We start from the raw sequence: 19,221 nt of genomic DNA on the forward strand, positions 1-19,221 counted from the left end.
AGGTGCAGTGGCTCACTCCTATAATCCCAGTGGCTCACTCCTATAATGCCATCATGGCTGGCTAATTCCTTTTTTTTAGAGATGGGGTCTTGCTACATTGGCCAGGCTGTTCTCAAACTCCTGGCCTCCAGTGATCCTCCCACCTCAGCCTCCCAAAGTGCTGGGACTACAGCTGGGATTATAGGGGGCCGAGGTGGGAGGATCGCTTGAGCCCAGGAATTCAAGACCAGCCTGGGCAACACAGCAAGACTTCATCCTCTCCTCTCCCACCTGTCTCGTCTTTTTGGTGGCAGCAGCTCCACTTGTCCCCACGGAAGGCACCGGGATGGTAGGAGCCCAGGAGGCTGGTGTGGGCTGGATTTCAGCCGCCGCTGGCCCCTTGGCCACGCTCGTAGGTATTCCAGAACCCGCCAAATATATTTGGTGGCCCTGATATCACTACTTTTCCCAGTGGCTCTGGACCCTGACACAAAAGGGAACTCCTAGAGGGAAGGGCACAGAGGGACAGGTCTGTGACTTCCTCCCCACAGGCCAGGACGGTCAAGCCCGGAAGAAACCAACCCCCCTCCAGCTGCAGGCTTCTTACTTGTCCCACATGTCCCTGCCCTAGATACACATCTGGGTCACCCTCCTACAAGGTCCCTGCTCGAATGCCACCCATCAGAGGTCCTCCCTGACCACTCTTTAATTAATTTACTAATTAATTTATTTATTTATTTTGAGATGGAGTCTTGCTCTGTCACCAGGCTGGAGTGCAGTGGCTCGATCTCAGCTCACTGCAACCTCCACCTCCCAGGTTCAAGCGATTCTCCTGCCTCAGCCCCCCAAGTAGCTGGGACTACAGGCGCACACCACCACACCCAGCTACTTTTTGTACTCTCCCTGACCACTCTTAATAGGACAGACCGCTCCCTGCTATACCCCACTCTCTTCCCTCCCTTGCTCCCTTAGTCCCTTCTGGTTCCCTTCAAGTCACTATCACAATTTGCTTTTTTTTTTTTTTTTTTTTTTTTAAGAGACAGGGTCTCACTCTGTAGCCCAGGCTGGAGTGCAGTGGTGTGATCATAGTTCACTGCAGCCTCCAACTCCTGGGTTCAGGCTATCTTCCTGCCTCAGCCTCCCAAGTAGCTGGAATCACAGGTGCATGCCATCATGGCTGGCTAATTTTCTTTTTGTAGAGATGGGGTCTTGCTACATTGGCCAGGCTGTTCTCAAACTCCTGGCCTCCAGTGATCCTCCCACCTCAGCCTCCCAAAGTACTGGGACTACAGGCATGAGCCGACATTTGAAACATGTATTTATTGGCCCATCTTCTCCCAGGGATATCAGCTCCATGAGGGCAGGACTCTGCCTCATCTGCCACTGTATCCCCTCACCTAGAATCATGCCTGGAACCTAGGAGGTGCTCAGTAAGTATTTTTTAAATAAATGAATGAATGAGTTAATGAAGGAACAGATGAGAAGGTTACTTGAGAACATGCACCCAGAGCCACACACAGCATAATGTTTGATTATTAGGCATTGATACAGACACAGAACCACACAGGTGCCAGCTCAGACTTTCTGTTTTAGAGAAAGGGTCTTGCTCTGTTGCCCTGGCTAGAATGCTGGGATTATCCGTGTGAACCAGCGTGCCTGGCCCCCATCTCAGTTATCTGGAAATAGTTTCCAACAAACGGGTGCAACGTGCAAATTTCACATCACGGGGATGCACCTGTCTGTGCACTGGCCCACACACAGACCTACACATGGATGCCCAGGGAAAGACATGGGCCATGGCCTCCTGGGGGCTCAGGCCCCTGGACAACACACACACACCTGTCCCTGACACCTCCCAGATTAGACACACCCTGCGGTGCCTGATGTAGCTGGTAGCGGGGCGAGAAGCTCAATCAACTCTTTTCTCATCCAGTCCACTCAGGCCCCTCCCACAGCACCCAGGCCACTCCCACAGAGCTCAGGCCACTCCCATAGCACCCAGGCCATTCCCACAGCACCCAGGGCATTCCCATAGCATCCAGGGCACTCCCACAGCACCCAGGCCACTCCCATAGAGCTCAGGCCTCTCCCACAATACCCAGGCCACTCCCACAGGACTCATGCCACTCCCACAGTACCCAGGCCTCTCCCACAGCACCCAAGCCACTCCCACAGTGTTCAGGCCACTCCCACAGCACCCGCTCCCCTCCCCGCACCTTGCACTGCAGGTAGGCAGTCTGGGGCCTGCCGGCGTCGTCCGTGTAGATGACCTGCATGACGTGCGAGCCGCCAAAGCTCTTTTCCTCAACCTTTTCCGCTGCCCGGATGTTGGCTAACTTGATGAGGGCGCTTTTCTGGGGCAGGCAGGGAGGAGGAGGCTCAGGGACCTAGCCAGGGGCATTCCATTCCCCATCTCTGGGCCTCAGTCTCCCCTTCTGCAGCACCAGGGGTAGGCATGGGAGACCTAGAGTGACCTCAGCCAGGGCAGAGCACAGACTGATGGTGACCAAGTGCCCAGCAACTGGGAGAGGAGGACCTGGCCTCTCTGGGGGGCACTCCCAGAAGGCCTCGGAGGTGTGAGCTTTGGGGTAGTGTCGGGACAGCCAGCATTCCCTGGGCTACAAAGTCAATCCGGCCGTGGCCAAGGCTTTGTGACTTTGCATTTATTAATTTTCCAACTTGCTTTTGTAGTCCCAGGCTCTAATAGTCATATCCTGACCGGGCGCAGTGGCTCACACATGTAATCCCAGCATTTTGGGAGGCCGAGGAAGGCGGATCACCTGAGGTTGGGAGTTCGAGACCAGCCTGACAAACATGGAGAAACTCTGTGTCTACTAAAAATACAAAATTAGCCGGGCATGGTGGCGCATGCCTGTAATCCCAGCTACTTGGGAGGCTGAGGCAGGAGAATCGCTTGAACCCGGGAGGCGGAGGTTGCGGTGAGCCAAGATCGCACCATTGCACTCTGGCCTGGGCAACAAAAGCGAAACTCCATCTCAAAAAAAAAAAAAAAAATGGGACCAGAATTAAATAATGCCCATGTAGTCAAATCTTTCAACCCTGGCAAGGAAGATGTATAATAATCATCTGAGTGCTTTGGGAGGCTGGGGCAGGAGGATTGCCTGAGGCCAGGAGTTTGAGAACAGCCTGGGCAGCATAGCAAGACCCCATCTCCGCAAAAAAAAAAGTTAAAGAAAATTAGCTGGGCTTGGTGGCACGTGCCTGTAGTCCCAGCTACTCGGGAGGCTGAGGTAGGAAGATTGCTTGAGCCCAGGAGTTTGAGGCTGCGGTCAGCTATGATCGCACCACTGCACTACAGCCTGGGTGACAGAGCAAGACCCTGTCTCAAAAAATAATTATCATCATCTGAGGGGTCTTTGGTCGGAAGGGGCGGGCCCCTCATCTGGTGGGACCCCTGAGCTGGTTGAGAACAGGGTGGGTGATGAGCTCCTTCACCTACTCCTAGCCCGCTCTCACCTGCCCAGGGCTAGGCTGGGTACTCCTGGAAGATCATCCCCATAGCCTGCATGACTGGGGGCAGGTGTACAGCAAGCAGTCACCAGGTCCATGGAGGAAGTATGTCCTCAGCCCTTCCTGGGAGAAGAGAGCTTGCAGGAGAGGTGACCCATGACTCAGAGAGGGCTGTACAAGGTGATCTTTGAGATCCCTTCCCACGCCAAGATTCCGTGCTTCTATATTCCTGCCTCTTCCAGGAAGCCTCCCCTGTTTGCCCTAGCCTCCTACTCATCTAGCAGCCCAGGTGATATACTATCTTTAATAATATCATTTGCCTAAATAGTACTACCTGCCAGGCCCTGGGTCAGGACCCTTAGGGAGATCATCTCATTTAATCCTCAACAACCTGGTAAGGTCGGATCAACTTCCTCCATATTCATTTTTTTTTTTTTTGAGATGGAGTCTTGCTCTGTTGCCCAGGTTGGAGTGCAGTGGCACGATCTCGGCTCACTGCAACTTCTGCCTCCCAGGTTCAAGCGATTCCCGTGCCTCAGCCTCCCGAGTAGCTGGGACTACAGGCACCCACCACCACACCCGGCTGATTTTTTGTATTTTTAGTAGAGACGGGGTTTCTCCATGTTGGCCAGGCTGGTCTCAAACTCCTAACCTCAAGTGATCCACCCGCCTTGGCCTCCCAAAGTCCTGGGATTACAGGCGTGAGCCACCGTGCCCGGCCCTCCTAGGTTCTGACAAGCAGTACAGATGCCACACACCTGGCTTTCTTCTCTGACCCCGGGGGTACCTCAAGTGGGCTCCAAGGAAGGGGACAGGTGCCCCACTTGCCGGCCTCTCAGAGCCCCACTTGCCGGCCTCCCTCCTTACCCACCTTGGAGCTGGGCGTCTTCGCGAAGCTGAGGGCCTCGGTAGTGAGGGAGAAGTAGAGCTTCTTGAAGGAGGAGGACATGAGGGGGCCCTTGCCCTTGGTCCTGTGGATGAAGAGTGGCCCCTCCTTCACAGGTGGCGCCTGCAAACTCAGCGTCCGCTGCAGGTCCAGCTCTGCCAGGCCAGGGAGGGAGGGGAATAGAGAGCCCAGTGAATGAGGGCGGGACTGGGGGGAGCGGAGCAGTGGGAGGGGCCATGGGGCTCAAGGGCTGAGCAAATCTGAACAGCAGGCAGTGGACGTAGTCATGGGGCTCAAGGGCGGAGCAAACATCAACAGCTGGTGGTGAGCGGGGTGACAGGTGGACTGAGGAAGGCAGGGCCATGGGCTTGGAGGCGGGACACGCGTCAGTAGCAGGTGGCGGCGGGGCTATGGAGCTCAAGGATGGAGCAAATGTCAACAGGCGCAGATGATGGGGGGGTGAGGCCATGGGTCTAGGGGTGGGGCAAACGTCAACGGCAGGCAGTGGGCAGGGTCACAGGAAGCACAAACAGTGGTGCGTGGGTCTATGGCCTGGGGGCCTGGCAAATGCCAACAGCAGGCGGTGGGTGGGGCCACGAGAGGAACAAACAGCGATGGGTGGGGCCGTGGGGCTCAAGGGCGGAGCAAACGTCAGCAGTAGGCTGTGGGCGGGTCTGTGCAGGGCGGCGCTCACCGTCCTTCTCCTCGATGTCCACGAGCTTGGTGATGAAGTCCTTCAGCTGCGCCACGCCCTGGCGCACGGTGGGCTGCAGCGGCTCCATCCAAGCCTCCTTGGCCCTGGAAGCCGGCGTGTCCATGTTGCCCACGTTCTGGACTGCCTGGAGGTGACAGCAGGAAGGACCAGGTTCTGCTAGGTTAGGGGCCTAGCCACTGCACCCCCTCCCACCCCCCCTCCCCAAGTCTTTGCTACTCAGCTGTAGCGATGGAGGCAGAGGCGACAGAGGCCATGCCCACGGGCCCCCTCCAGCCCCACTAGGGATCAGGGAGGAGAGGATCATGAAGTTTGATGCCTTATGATAACTGAGACCACTTGGGCCTTCCTCTGTAGGTTTAACTGACGCTGCTGCACTGGATACCCCACCCCGGTGCCGGGCACATAGGTGCAGCCTGAGAGTAAGCAGACCCGGGTTGGAAGGTCCCGCGATTCACCACCGACAGGATGGGCGGCCTTGGCAACCCCCGACCCCTCGCAGGCCTGTTCCCTTATCCATGAGATGGAGCTCGGACAAGGTGGCCACAGGAAGGCTTTGCAAACTGTGAAGTGCAGTGCCTACGTGGGCGTGCCAGTGGCCTCGCCGGAGCCGGTAGGGAACACTCTGCAGTCCAGGCCAGGGCCCCGGTAGGACACCCAGCTGTGCATCCCGCCCGTGGCCGCAAGGCCCGCACCTTGGCCAACAGGAGCAGGGTGCGGCTGGTGCGGGCGTCCGCGTGGCGCTCCCGCAGGTGGAAGAGCTTGGGCGACATGATGGCGGGAGAGAAGAAGCGCAGGCACAGGAAGCTGGTGACGGCGATGAACGGTACATTCTGGAGGGGTGCGGAAGAGCGCGGGCTGGAGTCCCCCAGACCAGGGCTCCTGGCAGCCCCCTCCCCTTAGGCTCCGTCCCTGACCCTCGCTGGGACACAGCCTCCCTGGTCCTCCCCAGCGCTCCCTGGTTCCCCACCGCTCTTCACCCCTCGCCCCAGCCCAGTCCAACCCGGCCCAGCCTAGCCCAGCGGGTGGAGGGCGCACCTCGTGCTGGGCGCCGGGGAAGCGCTCGCGCACGCGCCGGAAGAGCTGGCGGAAGGTGGCGCGCACCACGGCGGGGCACGCGCGAACCGAGCGGCTGAGCGCGCTCAGCAGGGCCCCCAGGTGGGCGCGCAGCGTCTGCGCGCTCTGCTCCAGCACCTCGGCCTCGGTCTGCGGGCGGTGCAGCCCGGAGCACCTGCGTGGAACGGGGCGGGTTGGCAGAGGAGGTCGCGGTCAGCGCCAGGGCCACGACAGGAACAGTGGCTCTCACAGCAGCCAGGACACGGACACAGGGGACAATACACGGGTGGGCAGAAGCACAAACACACATGCTGACAGGGCCTGATCCCAACCCGCTGCCGCTGCACCCCGCAACCCCCGGAGTTACCCCCGGCCTCACCCTACATCCTTAACTTCCACTTTGCTGGGGTCCAGCTCCACGTACTTCTTCTCCTCAAACACCTTGTTGATGATGGGGCCCAGGACGCCGTGCAGGTACTGCATCCCGGCCACCTGGGGACCACCGCAGGTCACATTGATCCTGTCTCCCCCAGTCCCACTCCAGCTGCCCACCTTCTCCCGGCAGCCGCCCTTGCACCGTTTGCCTGCCGTATCCGCCCAGGAGGGGGCCAGGTACACATGCAGGGCAAACTGTTTATTCATGAATGAATGAATGAGTGAGTGAATGAATGACTAGAATTCTTAGCCCTTGTAATCCTAGCACTTTGGGAGGCCAAGGCAGGAGGATCACTTGAGGCCAGGAGTTTGAGACCAGCCTGGGCAACATAGTGAGACTGTCTCTAACTTAAATTTTAATCACACACACATTCTCTTTGGGGGGGGGGGGTGCGGGGCACGGAGTCTAGCACGGGGCCCAGGCTAGAGTGCAGTGGCGTGAGCTCACTACAACCTCTGGCTCCTGGTTCAAGTGAGTCTCCTGCCTCAGCCTCCCCAGTAGCTGGGATTACAGGTGCCCACCACCATGCCAGGCTAATTTTTGTATTTTTAGTAGAGATGGGGTTTCGCCATGTTGGCCAGGCTGGTCTCGAACTCCTGACCTTAAGTGATCCGCCCGCCTCAGCCTCCCAAAGTGCTGCAATTACAGGCATGAGCCACTATGCCCAGCCACATTCTTAACCTTAAAGGGCTCTGAATATGGAGATAGAACACTGGAGTCGAAGTCCCAGCCCCCTCTGTCGCTCTCTGAAGCTCAGTGTTGTCATTTGCAAGATGAGGACAATATAGCATGCAACCTCACCTTCAGAAAAGACTCCATGGACTTTGAGGCCAGAGAGTTGCTCCGGAACAGGGTGTTGGTCTCACCTACAAACAGAGGTCCCAGTGGGTAGGGGGCTGGCACAAAGCTTTTGGGGGAGGGGGAGGACAGAGGACCTTGGGGCTGGGGGATCTAAGCTGGCCCCTCAATAAAGGGCCTCCTCGCCACCTCCCAGCCCACTGTCCCACCTCTGCCCTTGGCTCTGTTCCTTGCCTCCCTCCTCTCTGACCCCATCTGCCTCCTACAGGAGGAGCCCACCCACCCCCAAACACCTCCCAGTGTTCTGGGCCCAGCTCCTTCCCAGGCCTCACTGGTGCGACTCAGCTCCAGCTGGAAGAGCAGGTCCAGGAAGTCCTTGGCCAGCCCCTGCCCCAGGAAGAGCTTGAGCAGGTTCGTGGCCACGTCCTGGCGACACTCGGTGCTGGTTGTCTCCTCGATGAGTGGGATCAGCTGCCCTGGGCCCTGCAGGGAGAGGCACGGGGGATCCCGAACCTTTCCCTCTGAGGACCTCAGAGCATCCCAGGGAAAGAGGACATTTTCCCAAGGGGTGGCTGGGGACGGGGCCCTGGACACTGGCCAGCTCCTCACATCCCCAGACCTCAGGTTTCTGCTCTGCAGAATGGGTTTAGAAGGACAGGCGCACAGGCCTACTGCCACTGGACCCTCCCACCCTGCCCAGGCCCCCTCACCTGCATGCCCAGCTTGACCTCGTGGCACAGCAGGTGCACCAGTGGCTGGTAGTAGCTGGAGGGCAGCACCGTCTCGTCCCGCAGCCGCACCTCCAGCTGCAAGGAGCCCAGGTTGCCCCTGGAATGGGCAGCCTGTGACCTCTCCACCAGGGACTCAGGCCACCCTGGACCACACCACTCCCACGGCCTCCAGTTTTTTCCCTTGGGGCCGGCTTCCCATCTCTCTGCTCATGCCCTCCATCCGGGTGCCCTGCATAGCTCTGCCTCCCAGGCTCTGCCCGGGCTATTTATTTTCTGTTTTTGGAAAGCCCTTCCTGTCTCTGCACTCAAGGCACCTCTATCTGTCTTCGAGGTCTGGCTCCCTGCCACCTCCAAGCTTGGGTATGTGGAGCTGCCAGCCTTGAATCGATCAACTCCCAGATAATGGCACCATCATGGGTACACTTTACAGCAGAAGCAAATCCCCAACCCTCATAACAACCTAATAGGGAAACTGAGACCCGAGCCAGTTCAGCAACTTGCCACATTAGATTGAGCTTCCCAGCTTCCCTGTTCTGATAGGGAAGTTCAGAACAGAGGAGGGTGTGGACCAAGTGGGAACCTCTAAGGCTCCCACTGCCCCTGCTCAGCACAAGCCTCATGCACAGAGCAGCGTTAAGATGGGCCCCTGGGCCTGGCGCAGTGGCTCATGCCTGTAATCTCAGCACTTTGGGAGGCCAAGGCAGGCAGATCACTTGAGGTCATGAGTTCAAGACCAGCCTGGCTGACACGGCAAAACCCCATCTCTATTAAAATATATATATAAAAATTAGCCAGGCATTGTGGCAGGTGCCTGTAATCGCAGCTACTCGGGAGACTGAGGCAGGAGAAGCGCTTCAACCCAGGAAGCAGAGGTTGCAGTGAGCCAGGATTGCACCACTGCACTCCAGCCTGACTCTGTCTCAAAAAAAATAAATAAATAAAAAATAAGATGGCAAGATGGGCCTTGGCTGGTTCTATGGAAACACCTTGTGCTGGACACACAGCCGTCCACCTGCTCCTACCCTGTTAAGGATGGGAACTGGGGGAATGGGGGTCTGGGGCCTTCCACAGAGACACAAAGCTGAACCACTGAGGGCTGTGGGCCACAGCAAACAAGCCAGAGGGCTTCCTAGACAGGCTGCCAGATTTAGCAAAACGACCCAAGACACCCAGTTAAATGTGAATATTTTATTTACTTATTAACTATTTTTTTTAGAGATGGGGTCTTGCTATGTTGCCCAGGCTGGTCTTGAACTCCTGGGCTCAAGTGATCCTCCTGCCTTGGCCTCCCAAAGTGCTGAGATTACAGGCATGCGCCACCATACCCGGCCTAAATTTGAATATTTTTAGTATAGGTATGTCTCAAATAGTGCATGGTCATTCTTCTTCTTTATTTATTTTTTTTTTTGCTGAGATGGAGTCCTGCTCTGTCACCCAGGCTGGAGTGCAGTGGCGCGATCTCGGCTCACTGCAACCTCCACCTCCCAGGTTCAAGCAATTCTCCATCCTCAGCCTCCCAAGTAGCTGAGATTAGAGGTGCCCGCCACCACATCCGGGTAATTTTTGTATTTTTAGTACAGACGGGATTTCACCATGTTGGCCAGGCTGGTCTTGAACTCCTGATCTCATGATCCACCCGCCTCGGCCACCCAAAGTGCTGAGATTACAGGCATGAGCCACCGCACCCGGCTGTTTTCTTGAGACGGAGTTTCGCTCTTGTCACCGAGGCTGGAGTGCAGTGGTGGGATCTCGGCTCACTGCAACCTCCGTCTCCTGGGTTCCAGCAATTATCCTGCTTCAGTAGCTTGGATTACAGGTGCCCACCACCATTTTTTGTACTTTTAGTAGAGACGGTGTTTCACCATGTTGGCCAGGCTGGTCTCGAACTCGTGACCTCAAGTGATCCACCCACCTCAAACTCCCAAAGTGTTGGGATTACAGGTGTGAGTCACCACGCCCAGCGGTTATTTTTATACTAAAAATGTATTCACAGCCGGGCACAGGTCAGGAGTTCAACATCAAGCCCGGCCATCACGGTGAAACCCCATCTCTACTAAAACTACAAAAATTTAGCCAGGTGAGGTGGTCCTAGCTACCTGGAACGTTGAGATGGGAGGATTGCTTGCACCCAGGAGGTGGAGGCTACAGTGAGCTATGATCACCACTGTACTGGTGGTACAGGTGCATGCCTGTAATCCCAGCTACTCGGGAGGCTGAGGCATGAGAATTGCTTGAACCTGGGAGGCGGAGGTTGCAGTGAGCCAAGACCGTGCCACTGCACTCCATCCAGCCTAGGTGACAGAGTGAGATTCTGCTCAAAAAAAAAAAATATATATATATATATTCACTTTTATCTGAAATTAAGTTTTAACTGGGTGTTCTTTTTTTTTTTTGAGACAGAGTCTAGCTTTGTCACCCAGGCTAGAGTGCAATGGCGCAATCTTGGCTCACTACAACCTCTGCCTCCGGGGTTCAAGCAATTCTGCCTGCCTCAGCCTCCCGAGTAGCTGGGATTACAGGTGCCCGCCATCTGGCCAGGCTGGTCTCAAACTCCTGACCTCAGGTGATCCGCCCACCTCGACCTCCCAAAGTGCTGGGATTACAGGCGTGAGCCACCGCGCCTGGCCTAATTTTTATTTCTTTGTAGAGACGGAGTCTCACTTTCTTGCCCAGGCTGGTCTCAAACTCCTTGCCCCAAGTGATCCTCCCACCTTGGCCTCCCAAAGAGCTGGGATTACAGGCATGAGCCACCGCTCCTGGCCAATGGTGTCCTATCTTATCTCACAACCCTATTCCTGGAGAATCTGGCATAGGGAGTTGGAGCTATGGCTCAGGGACACTGACCTTGGAGACTTGAACCCTGGTCTGAGGTCTGCAGGGAAATTTTCAAAGGGAAAATGTCTGAGTACTTGTTTCAGAAACTTCCAGAGGCAGAAAGCAGGAGACCTGTACAACCTGTGAGCTAAGAAGACAGACCTGGCCGGGTGCGGTGGCCCATGCCTGTAATCCTAGCACTTTGGCAGGCTGAGGCGGGTGGATCACTTGAGGTCAGGTGTTCGAGACCAACTTGGCCAACATGGTGAAACCCTGTCTCTACTAAAAATACAAAAATTAGCCGAGCATGGTGGTACACAGTTGTAATCCCAGCTAATCAGGAGGTTGAGGCAGGAGAATCACTGGAACCCAGGAGGTGGAGGTTGCAGTGAGCCAAGATTGTGCCGCTGCACTCCAGCCTGGGTGACAGAGCAAGACTCCATCTCAAAAAAAAGACAGAAGACAGAGCTGAGCTGAATGCAGAACTGTGGGGAAAAATAAAGGGGAGGGGCCGGGCGCGGTGGCTCATGCCTGTAATCCCAGTACTTGGGGAGGCCGAGGCGGGTGGATCACAAGGTCAGGAGATCGAGACCATCCTGGCTAACATGGTGAAACCCTGTCTCTACTAAAAATGCAAAAAATTAGCCAGGCGCGGTGGCGGGTGCCTGTAGTCCCAGCTACTTGGGAGGCTGAGGCAGGAGAATGGCGTGAACCCGGGAGGCGGAGCCTGCAGTGAGTCGAGATCACGCCATTGCACTCCAGCCTGGGGACAGAGTGAGACTCCATCTCAAAATAAATAAATAAATAAATAAATAATAAATAAAGGGGAGGTGGAGCCCAGCCAGGATGAGAAGGATGCTGGCTAGGTGGGCAGGGGCTGAGGGGACCCTGGAGCTGTGTCTCCTGACCTCTCACCCTGAGCAGCCCCCCTGCCCTGCCTGCCTGTAGCCAATTCCCAAATGTCAGCCCCCACCCCACCCCTTGAGGCCGGCTGCCCAGCTCCATGCACTTACTCGTCATGCCGCCGGCTCTTGGACTGGTCGGGCTGCAGCCGGAACCAGCCCTCCTCCTGCTGCACCACCCGCAGTCTCTGGACATCAATCACCACCTGGGGACATAGTGGCAGTTTTCCTGGAGCTGGGAGACTTACGTCTCCTCCTTGCCAACTACTGTTCTTAGTGGGGAGGGGCCCCTTCCAAGGGTCCCTGAGTGCCAGTGGTGGTGGGGGGAAGTTGCTGGTTCTGGCAGACGGTGGAGGTGGGGGGGTAGTCCCAGGCTTCCTGAGTGTCCCTCTTTGGGGAAGCCGGAGGGAGGTCCCTGAGGATGGGATGGCTGCAATGGAACCAGGTGCTGGGGGACAGCAGGTGCAGCCTGCCGGGGGAGGAGGGGGGGCGGGGCGGTGGTGCTCACTTTGCCCAGGAAGTCGTTTCGGCTGACAAGGTCCCAGTCCCAGGCCTCCACGCACAGCGCCTCCATGGCCCCCTCCTGCAGCTCAAATTCAAACGTCTCATTCCAGCGTGGGTAGCATGACTTCTTCACGATCTGCCCAGAGGAGGGTGGGAGGGGGTTAGGCTGATGCCACTGGACTCCCCAGGCTGGGCAAAAGGCAGAGCTGCCCTAGACACCTCCCCTGGGTTCCCCACAGCCTCCTCGCCTTGGAGGTTCTGCCACAGCAGAGGTTAAAATGTCCTGTCCAAGCTCCCACCCATTTCTGAGATAGGGAGAACTGAGGCCCAGGGTGGGGAAAAGATGTATCCAAGGCCACACAGCAAAACAGTACTGACTATGAGGATGTGGTGAACAGGGAATACCTCTACACTGCTGGTGGGAATGTGAACTAGTACAACCACTATGGAAAACAGCAGAGATTCCTTAACTAACTAAAAGTAGAACTACCATTTGATTCAGCAATCCCACTACTGGGTATCTACCCAGAGGAGAAGTCATTATACAAAAAAGATACTTGCACACATATGTTTTTGTTTTGTTTGTTTTGTTTTGTTTTTGAAACAGTCTTGCTCTGTCGCCCAGGCTGGAGTGCAGTGGCACGATCTCAGCTCACTGCAACCTCCGCCTTCTGGGTTCAAGTGATTCTCCTGCCTCAGCCTCCCAAGTAGCTGGGATTTCAGGGGCCTGCCGCTACGCCCGGCTAATTTTTGTATTTTTAGTAGAGACGGGGTTTCACCATGTTGGCCAGGCTGGTCTCAAACTCCTGGCCTCAAGCAATCTGCCAGCCTTGGCCTCCCACAGTGCTGGGATTACAGGTGTGAGCCACTGTGCCTGGCCAAGATACTTGCAGACGCATGTTTATAGCAGCACAATTCGCAATTGCAAAAATGTGAAACCAGCCCAAATGTCCATCAATCAACAAGTGGATAAAGAAACTGTGGTATATATATACGATGGAATACTACTCAGCCATAAAAAAGGAATGAATTAATGGCATTCACAGCAACCTGGATTGGATTGGAGACTATTATTCTAAGTGTAGTAACTCAGGAATGGAAAACCAAACATCGTTATGTTCTCACTCATATGTGGGAGCTAAGCTATGAGGACGCAAAGGCATAACAATGACACAGTGGACTTTGGGGACTCGGGGGGGAAGGGCGGGAAGGGGGTGAGGGATAAAAGACTACAAATTGGGTGCAGTGTATACTGCTCGGGTGATGGGTGAACCAAAATCTCATAAATCACCACTAAGAACTTATGTAACCAAACACCACCTGTTCCCCAATAACCTATGGAAATAAAATATTTAAAAACAGAGCAAAACAAACAAAAAACACAGGGCTGGGCGTGGTGGCTCATGCCTGTAATCCCAGCACTTTGGGAAGCCGAGGCGGGAGGATCACTTGAGGCCAGGAGTTCGAGACCAGCCTGGCCAACATGGTGAAACCCCATCTCTACTAAAAATACAAGAAATTAGCCTGGTGTGGTGGTGTGTGCCTGTAATCCTAGCTACTCGTGTGGCTGAGGCAGGAGAATCTCTCGAACTGGGAAGCCAGAGCCTGCAGTGAGCTGAGATCCAGCCACTGCACTCCAGCCTGGGTGACAGGGTGGGACTTGGCCTCAAAAAAAAAAAACACCACGAAACACAAAACAAAAACAGTAGCGACTATACTGAGAAAGCAGACCTTGGTGTCTTCGTGCCCAGGACTGGGCCCTCGACTCTGGACATTTCCTGGGGGTGGGGAAGGCAGCATGGGTGTTCCCAAATAAACCCCACTCCGGCTGTCTCAATCCCCTCCTTACCCCCAAGCATGGCCGGGAGTGAGCGAAGTTGGCCCCAGAGGTCCTGGGACCTATTATGTCCCCTCAGAGAGGTCGCCCCTTTCCCTGGGCCTCCTCTGTAAGACTGTGGCCCCCAATCTGTCCCACCAGCGGATGGTGAGCAGGTGGTGAGGTGAGCAATGGGGGCGTGGCTGGCACGTCCCCCGAGCCCCCTGCCCCTTCCCTGCCCTCTGGCCTCCTCACCGAGGTCTCCCGTGTCCGGCCCTTGTAGCGCACTCGGACGAAGGGGTCAGATGTGCCATTGCGGTCCTTTGGGGCCAGATCCCTGGTGGGGGTGGAGGAAGATTGGATCATCGACTTGTCCCTGAGCCCCCCCTCCCCCACTTGTCACCACCATTATGTAACCACAGCGGGCCAAAAGGCCTGGGCACATTCCGTCCCTGGCAAGCTGACTGTGGACAGTGCGCCTCTGCCCTTTCTGGGCCCTGCTCCCATAGCCATCTCCCCAGGATCGCCCATGTGGCCAAGAACCCCCCAAGGTAGAGGCCATGGGTCCTTCCCACCAGGCAGCTGCAGGCCAGTGGCTGCACCTTGCTCTGGGGGTGGCAGGGGGGTGGTGTGAGTGCTGCCAGGGAACCGCCGGGGCAATGTTCCTGGCCCTCCATTCCCAGGGCTGCCCTAAGCCTCGGTTTCCTCATCAGGAAAATGGAAAAGTGAATCGCTACTGGGCTCAGGTTTAGGGAGAGAGTGTGCTTCTGGAAGGTCTGCCCCAGTAATGTCGCTCTACTTGGTGGAGGAGTGAGGTGCAGCCCTGATGGGCGGCCCTGCCCTTTCTCCATAGATGGGTCTTTACACAGCCCTAGTCTAGTCACGGTACCTCCAGCTTTTTTTTTTTTTTGAGACGGAGTCTCGCTCTGTCGCCCAGGCTGGAGTGTAATGGTGCAATCTTAGCTCACTGCAACCTCCGCCTCCTGGGTTCAAGTAATTCTCCTGCCTCAGCCTCCTGAGTAGCTGGGATTACAGGTGCCTGCCACCACGCCCAGCTAATTTTCGTATTTTCAGTAGAGATGGGGTTTCACCAGGTTGGCCAGGCTGCCGTCGAACTCCTGACCTCAGGTGATCCGCCTGCCTTGGCCTCCCAAAGTGCTGGGATTACAGGCGTGAGCCACCGCGCCTGGCCCTTTTATTCTTTTCTTTTTTTTTTTTAAACAGGGTCTTGCTCTGTTGCTCAGGCTGGAGTACAGTGATGCAATCATAGCCCACTGCAGCCTTCACCTCCTGGGCTCAAGCAATCCTCCCACGTCAGCCTCCCAAGTAGTTGGCACTATAGGTGTGCCCCACCACACCTGGCTAATTTTTAAATTTTTTTGTAGAGACAGGATCTTGCTGTTGCCCAGGCTGGTCTCGAAATCTGGGCCTCAAGAGATCCTCCCACCTCTGCTTCCCAAAGCATTGGGATTACTGGAGTGAGCCACTGCACCCTGCCAGTATCCCCTACTTAGAACTCTTTGTGGAAGAACACCAAAGCCCACTCATCTTTGATATTTTAAGCCTCTCATACCTGCCTTTCTTCCCCCTCAAGACTGTCTAATAAAACCCCAACATTGAGGCTGGGTGCAGCGGCTCATTCCTATAATCCCAGCACTTTGGGAAGGAGGCTGAGGCAGGAGAATTGCTTGAACCTGGGGAGGCAGAGGTTGCAGTGAGCCAAGAAAACGCCACTGCACTCCAGCCTGGGCGACAGAGCCAGACTGCCTCAAAAAAAAAAAAAAAAAAAAAACCACCAAAAAAAAAAAAACAGCCCGGGTGCAGTGGCTCACGCCTGTAATCCCAGTACTTTGGGAGGCCGAGGCAGGCAGATCACCTGAGGTCAGGAGTTTGAGACCAGCCTAGCCAACATAGTGAAGTCCCGTCTCTACTAAAAATACAAAAAATTAGCCGGGCGTGGTGGTGCACACCTGTAATCCCAGCTACTAGGAAGGCTGAGGCAGGAGAATTGCTTGAACCCAGAAGGTGGAGGTTGCAGTGAGCTGAGATCGGGCCACTGCACTCCAGCCTGGATGATGGAGCGAGATTGTCTCAAAAACAAAAAACAAAAAAACCCCAAGGTTTTACTGAAATATTGAGAATCTCCCCAGAAAAAATGAGGAAATGTTCTTTCTTTCTCCGCAGCAAATGGACCTTCTTAGGCTGACTTGGAATTGCAGCAGGAGTCTCATTGCCGAGGACAACGGGGGACAAGTCCCCTCACTCTGAGAGAGGCCTGGACATTCCTCTCCCCTGCTAGGACTCACTAGAAGGCCAACCACTGTGGCCCCAGAGGATGGGACAGGGGAGATTCCTGGAGAGAGGGGAGGGCCAGGGAGACATGCTTCCATGCCTCCCATCTCCGTGGGTGACGATGGGTGCCTGGGAGAAGTGGCCCCGAGGTCCCAGAGCCCGGCCACGTGTGTGAGCGGGTGCACACGTGTGCATGCCTGTCCCCCAGACAGCCTGGTGCCTGGAAAGGATAAGGATGGAGGAAGCGGGTGAGTTGGGGTGGGGCGGGGGGGAATGAATGGCAGAGGCCAGAGAGTGAGCGAGTGTGGGGGTGTGGCTGAGGCTCGGCCCAAGCCCAGACATTTTCCATCCATTTCTATTTTCCCAGGACAGAAAATAACTCCCGGGAAGCCAGAGTGAGCAACATGGGCATCATCCGACCCACACCCCTCTGCCCAAGGGAAGTCTTCCTCTTAGACAGGCTGACCCCTCAAGGGTGGGGGGAACACTGGCTCCATAGGGCTGCCTGGCTGGGGGCCACCCTCCTGCCTCACAGGCAGGGAGCGACTTGGGGAGGTGGCTTTGGAGCCGGAAGGGAAGACGCTTCTCACGGACAGAGTGTGACTCAGACCCAGGCCCAGACGGGAGTGCAGCCTGCAGCTAAAAATACCCTGGGGGTTGGGGGGTGGCCCTGTCACAGGTGACTCAGGCCCATGGAACCATCCAAACCACTGTCCCTCCTTGGGGGAACCCTCAATTTGCCCATCGGGAGATTTTCAGCAACTCTTTTCACCCCCCCAGCCCCACGAGGGACCCACTTACACACACTCCCACCAGGCCAAGTTCACACTGGCGTTAAACATTGGGAAGCCGGCCTTAGCACTGGGGGACTGAGGCTGTGTGATCAGAGTTCGGGGTCTCCTCACCCGTACCCCCTACTCCACTCCTCTGTGATGGCTCCAGTTCCTCCATGAGAACATTAGACTGTCCCTTAAGGGACATATCCCCTTGAGTGGAAATCACCCAAGAAGCATCTTCAAGTCCAGAAAACCTCCCCAGACCCTCTCTTTTTTCTTTCTTTTTTATTTTTTTTGAGACACAGTCTCGCTTGTCACCCAGGCTGGAGTGCAGTGGCGCCATCTCGGCTCACTGCAACCTCTGCCTCCTGGGTTCAAGACTCCTGCCTCAGCCTCCTGAGTAGCTGAGATTACAGGCACCTGCCACCATGCCCGGCTAATTGTTGTATTTTTAGTAGAGACAGGGTCTCACCATGGTGGTCAGGCTGGTCTTGAACTCCTGGCCTCAGGTGAACCACCTGCCTCGGCCTCCCAAAGTGCTGGGATTACAGGTGTGAGACGCCGTGCCTGGCGAGACCCTCTCTTGAGAGCAGGCTTTGATGGGAGGTGGCCAGCTCTGGGACCAGGAGGTAGAGGTGGGGCGAGGGGGGGCTCAGCTTCCTCATTGGGTTTCTCTAGTTGCAGGGGACCCACTGCCCGCCCCCAGGCCCCTGAGTCTCACCTGGCCTCCAGCACAGAGCAGCGTAGCCGGCAGGCCCGGGCCCCTGGCCACACTTCCAGCCGCAGGTGGATCTCGCCCTGCACCTCCTCATCGGGGTCGACCTCCGTCAGGTGGGCCCACCCGCTGAAACCTGTGGGGTCAGCTCAGCCAGGGACCCGGCCCTGAACCCCCATACCCTCCACCCTCAGCCCCACCAGGCACCTTGAGGCACCTCCATAATCTGGGAATCCCCTAGGCACCCGTGAAGCAGGGGCTGGTATCCCCAATGACAGATGGGGAAACTGAGGCTCCGCAGGTGAAGAAACAGCAGTTGGAAGAGCTGGGATTAGAATCTAAGTCAGTGACCTGGGGCCTGTGCCCTCACTATTGTGTCATTTTTGTCGTTGTTGTTTTTAGAGACAGGGTCTCACCCTGTGAGCCAGGTGTGGTGGCGCATGCCTGTAATCCCAGCTCCTCAGGAGGCTGAGGCAGGAGAATTGCTTGAACTCAGATCGCGCCATTGCACTCCAGACTGGGTGACAGAGCAAGACCCCATCTCAAAAAAAAAAAAAAAAAAAAAAAAAAAAGATGGAGTCTTGCTATGTTGCTCAGGCTGGTCTCAAACTCCTGACCTCAAGCAATCCTCCCACCTCAGCCTCCCAAGGTGCTGGGATTATAAGCGTGGGCCGCTGTACCCAGCCAGATTCCCCATCTTAAAACGGGAAGAGAGTGGCCCTCCCCTAGGGCTGCTGGGAGGAGGGTCTGAGGCCCAGATGGAGAAGCTACAAGATTGCGCCATTGCACTCCAGACTGGGTGATAGAGCAAGACCCCATCTCAAAAAAAAAAAAAAAAAGATGGAGTCTTGCTATGTTGCTCAGGCTGGTCTCAAACTCCTGACCTCAAGCCATCCTCCCACCTCAGCCTCCTAAGGTGCTGCGATTATAAGTGTGGGCCGCTGTACCCAGCCAGATTCCCCATCTTAAAACAGGAAGAGAGTGGCCCTCCCCTAGGGCTGCTGGGAGGAGGGTCTGAGGCCTGGATGGGGAAGCTACAAGGCACCCGGAGGAATAGCCTCACTGGGGCCACTAGACCCCAGAGACGCTGGCTAAGGCTGCAGGTGGGAAAGGCCTTTGGCCTGGCAGGGGCCAAGAAGCCCCATGAGTCAGCAGAACCTGCCTTCGCCCTGCCCCCATCCCTGGCCCAGCGTCACAGACAGGAGCAGGTGTGTGTGGGGGGAAGCCAGTAAGCGGGACACAAAGGCTCTGATGGCAGAGCCCATAGCATCCAAGAACTGGTTTGAACCCTCAGAGAAGCCCAGAGAAGGCAGGAGCTGCCCAAGGTCACACA

General features: G+C 56.1%; 1 protein-coding gene and 1 long non-coding RNA gene across 12 annotated transcripts in view; one reads left to right on the forward strand and one right to left on the reverse strand.

Moving 5' to 3' along the window:
* The window catches only part of RASA4 (RAS p21 protein activator 4), a 37,113-nt gene that overhangs the window by 8,318 nt on the left and 9,574 nt on the right, over window positions 1–19,221 (reverse strand). For 5 of the 11 annotated variants that reach the window (NM_006989.6, XM_047419706.1, XM_047419702.1 and 2 more), the window contains exons 5-17: window positions 17,895–18,024; window positions 14,361–14,442; window positions 12,294–12,425; window positions 11,897–11,991; window positions 8,049–8,166; window positions 7,671–7,821; window positions 7,342–7,406; window positions 6,484–6,596; window positions 6,087–6,279; window positions 5,744–5,881; window positions 5,031–5,175; window positions 4,322–4,491; window positions 2,196–2,333 (exon numbers count right to left, since the gene is read on the reverse strand). In NM_006989.6, the coding sequence (NP_008920.5) occupies window positions 2,196–2,333; window positions 4,322–4,491; window positions 5,031–5,175; window positions 5,744–5,881; window positions 6,087–6,279; window positions 6,484–6,596; window positions 7,342–7,406; window positions 7,671–7,821; window positions 8,049–8,166; window positions 11,897–11,991; window positions 12,294–12,425; window positions 14,361–14,442; window positions 17,895–18,024 (1,670 nt within the window). Of the gene's footprint in view, window positions 1–270; window positions 483–2,195; window positions 2,334–4,321; window positions 4,492–5,030; window positions 5,176–5,743; window positions 5,882–6,086; window positions 6,280–6,483; window positions 6,597–7,341; window positions 7,407–7,670; window positions 7,822–8,048; window positions 8,167–11,896; window positions 11,992–12,293; window positions 12,426–14,360; window positions 14,443–17,894; window positions 18,025–19,221 lie in introns of those variants that run through there. The other 6 variants (XM_047419704.1, XM_047419705.1, NM_001079877.2 and 3 more) reach the window with 6 other exon arrangements.
* LOC124901714 (uncharacterized) lies at window positions 5,114–6,598 on the forward strand. The gene is made up of 2 exons (XR_007060462.1): window positions 5,114–5,211; window positions 5,406–6,598. It is a non-coding gene; the product is annotated as an uncharacterized LOC124901714 (long non-coding RNA).

This window comes from Homo sapiens, chromosome 7, assembly GCF_000001405.40.
Source record: "Homo sapiens chromosome 7, GRCh38.p14 Primary Assembly".
Taxonomy (NCBI): Eukaryota; Metazoa; Chordata; class Mammalia; order Primates; family Hominidae; genus Homo; species Homo sapiens.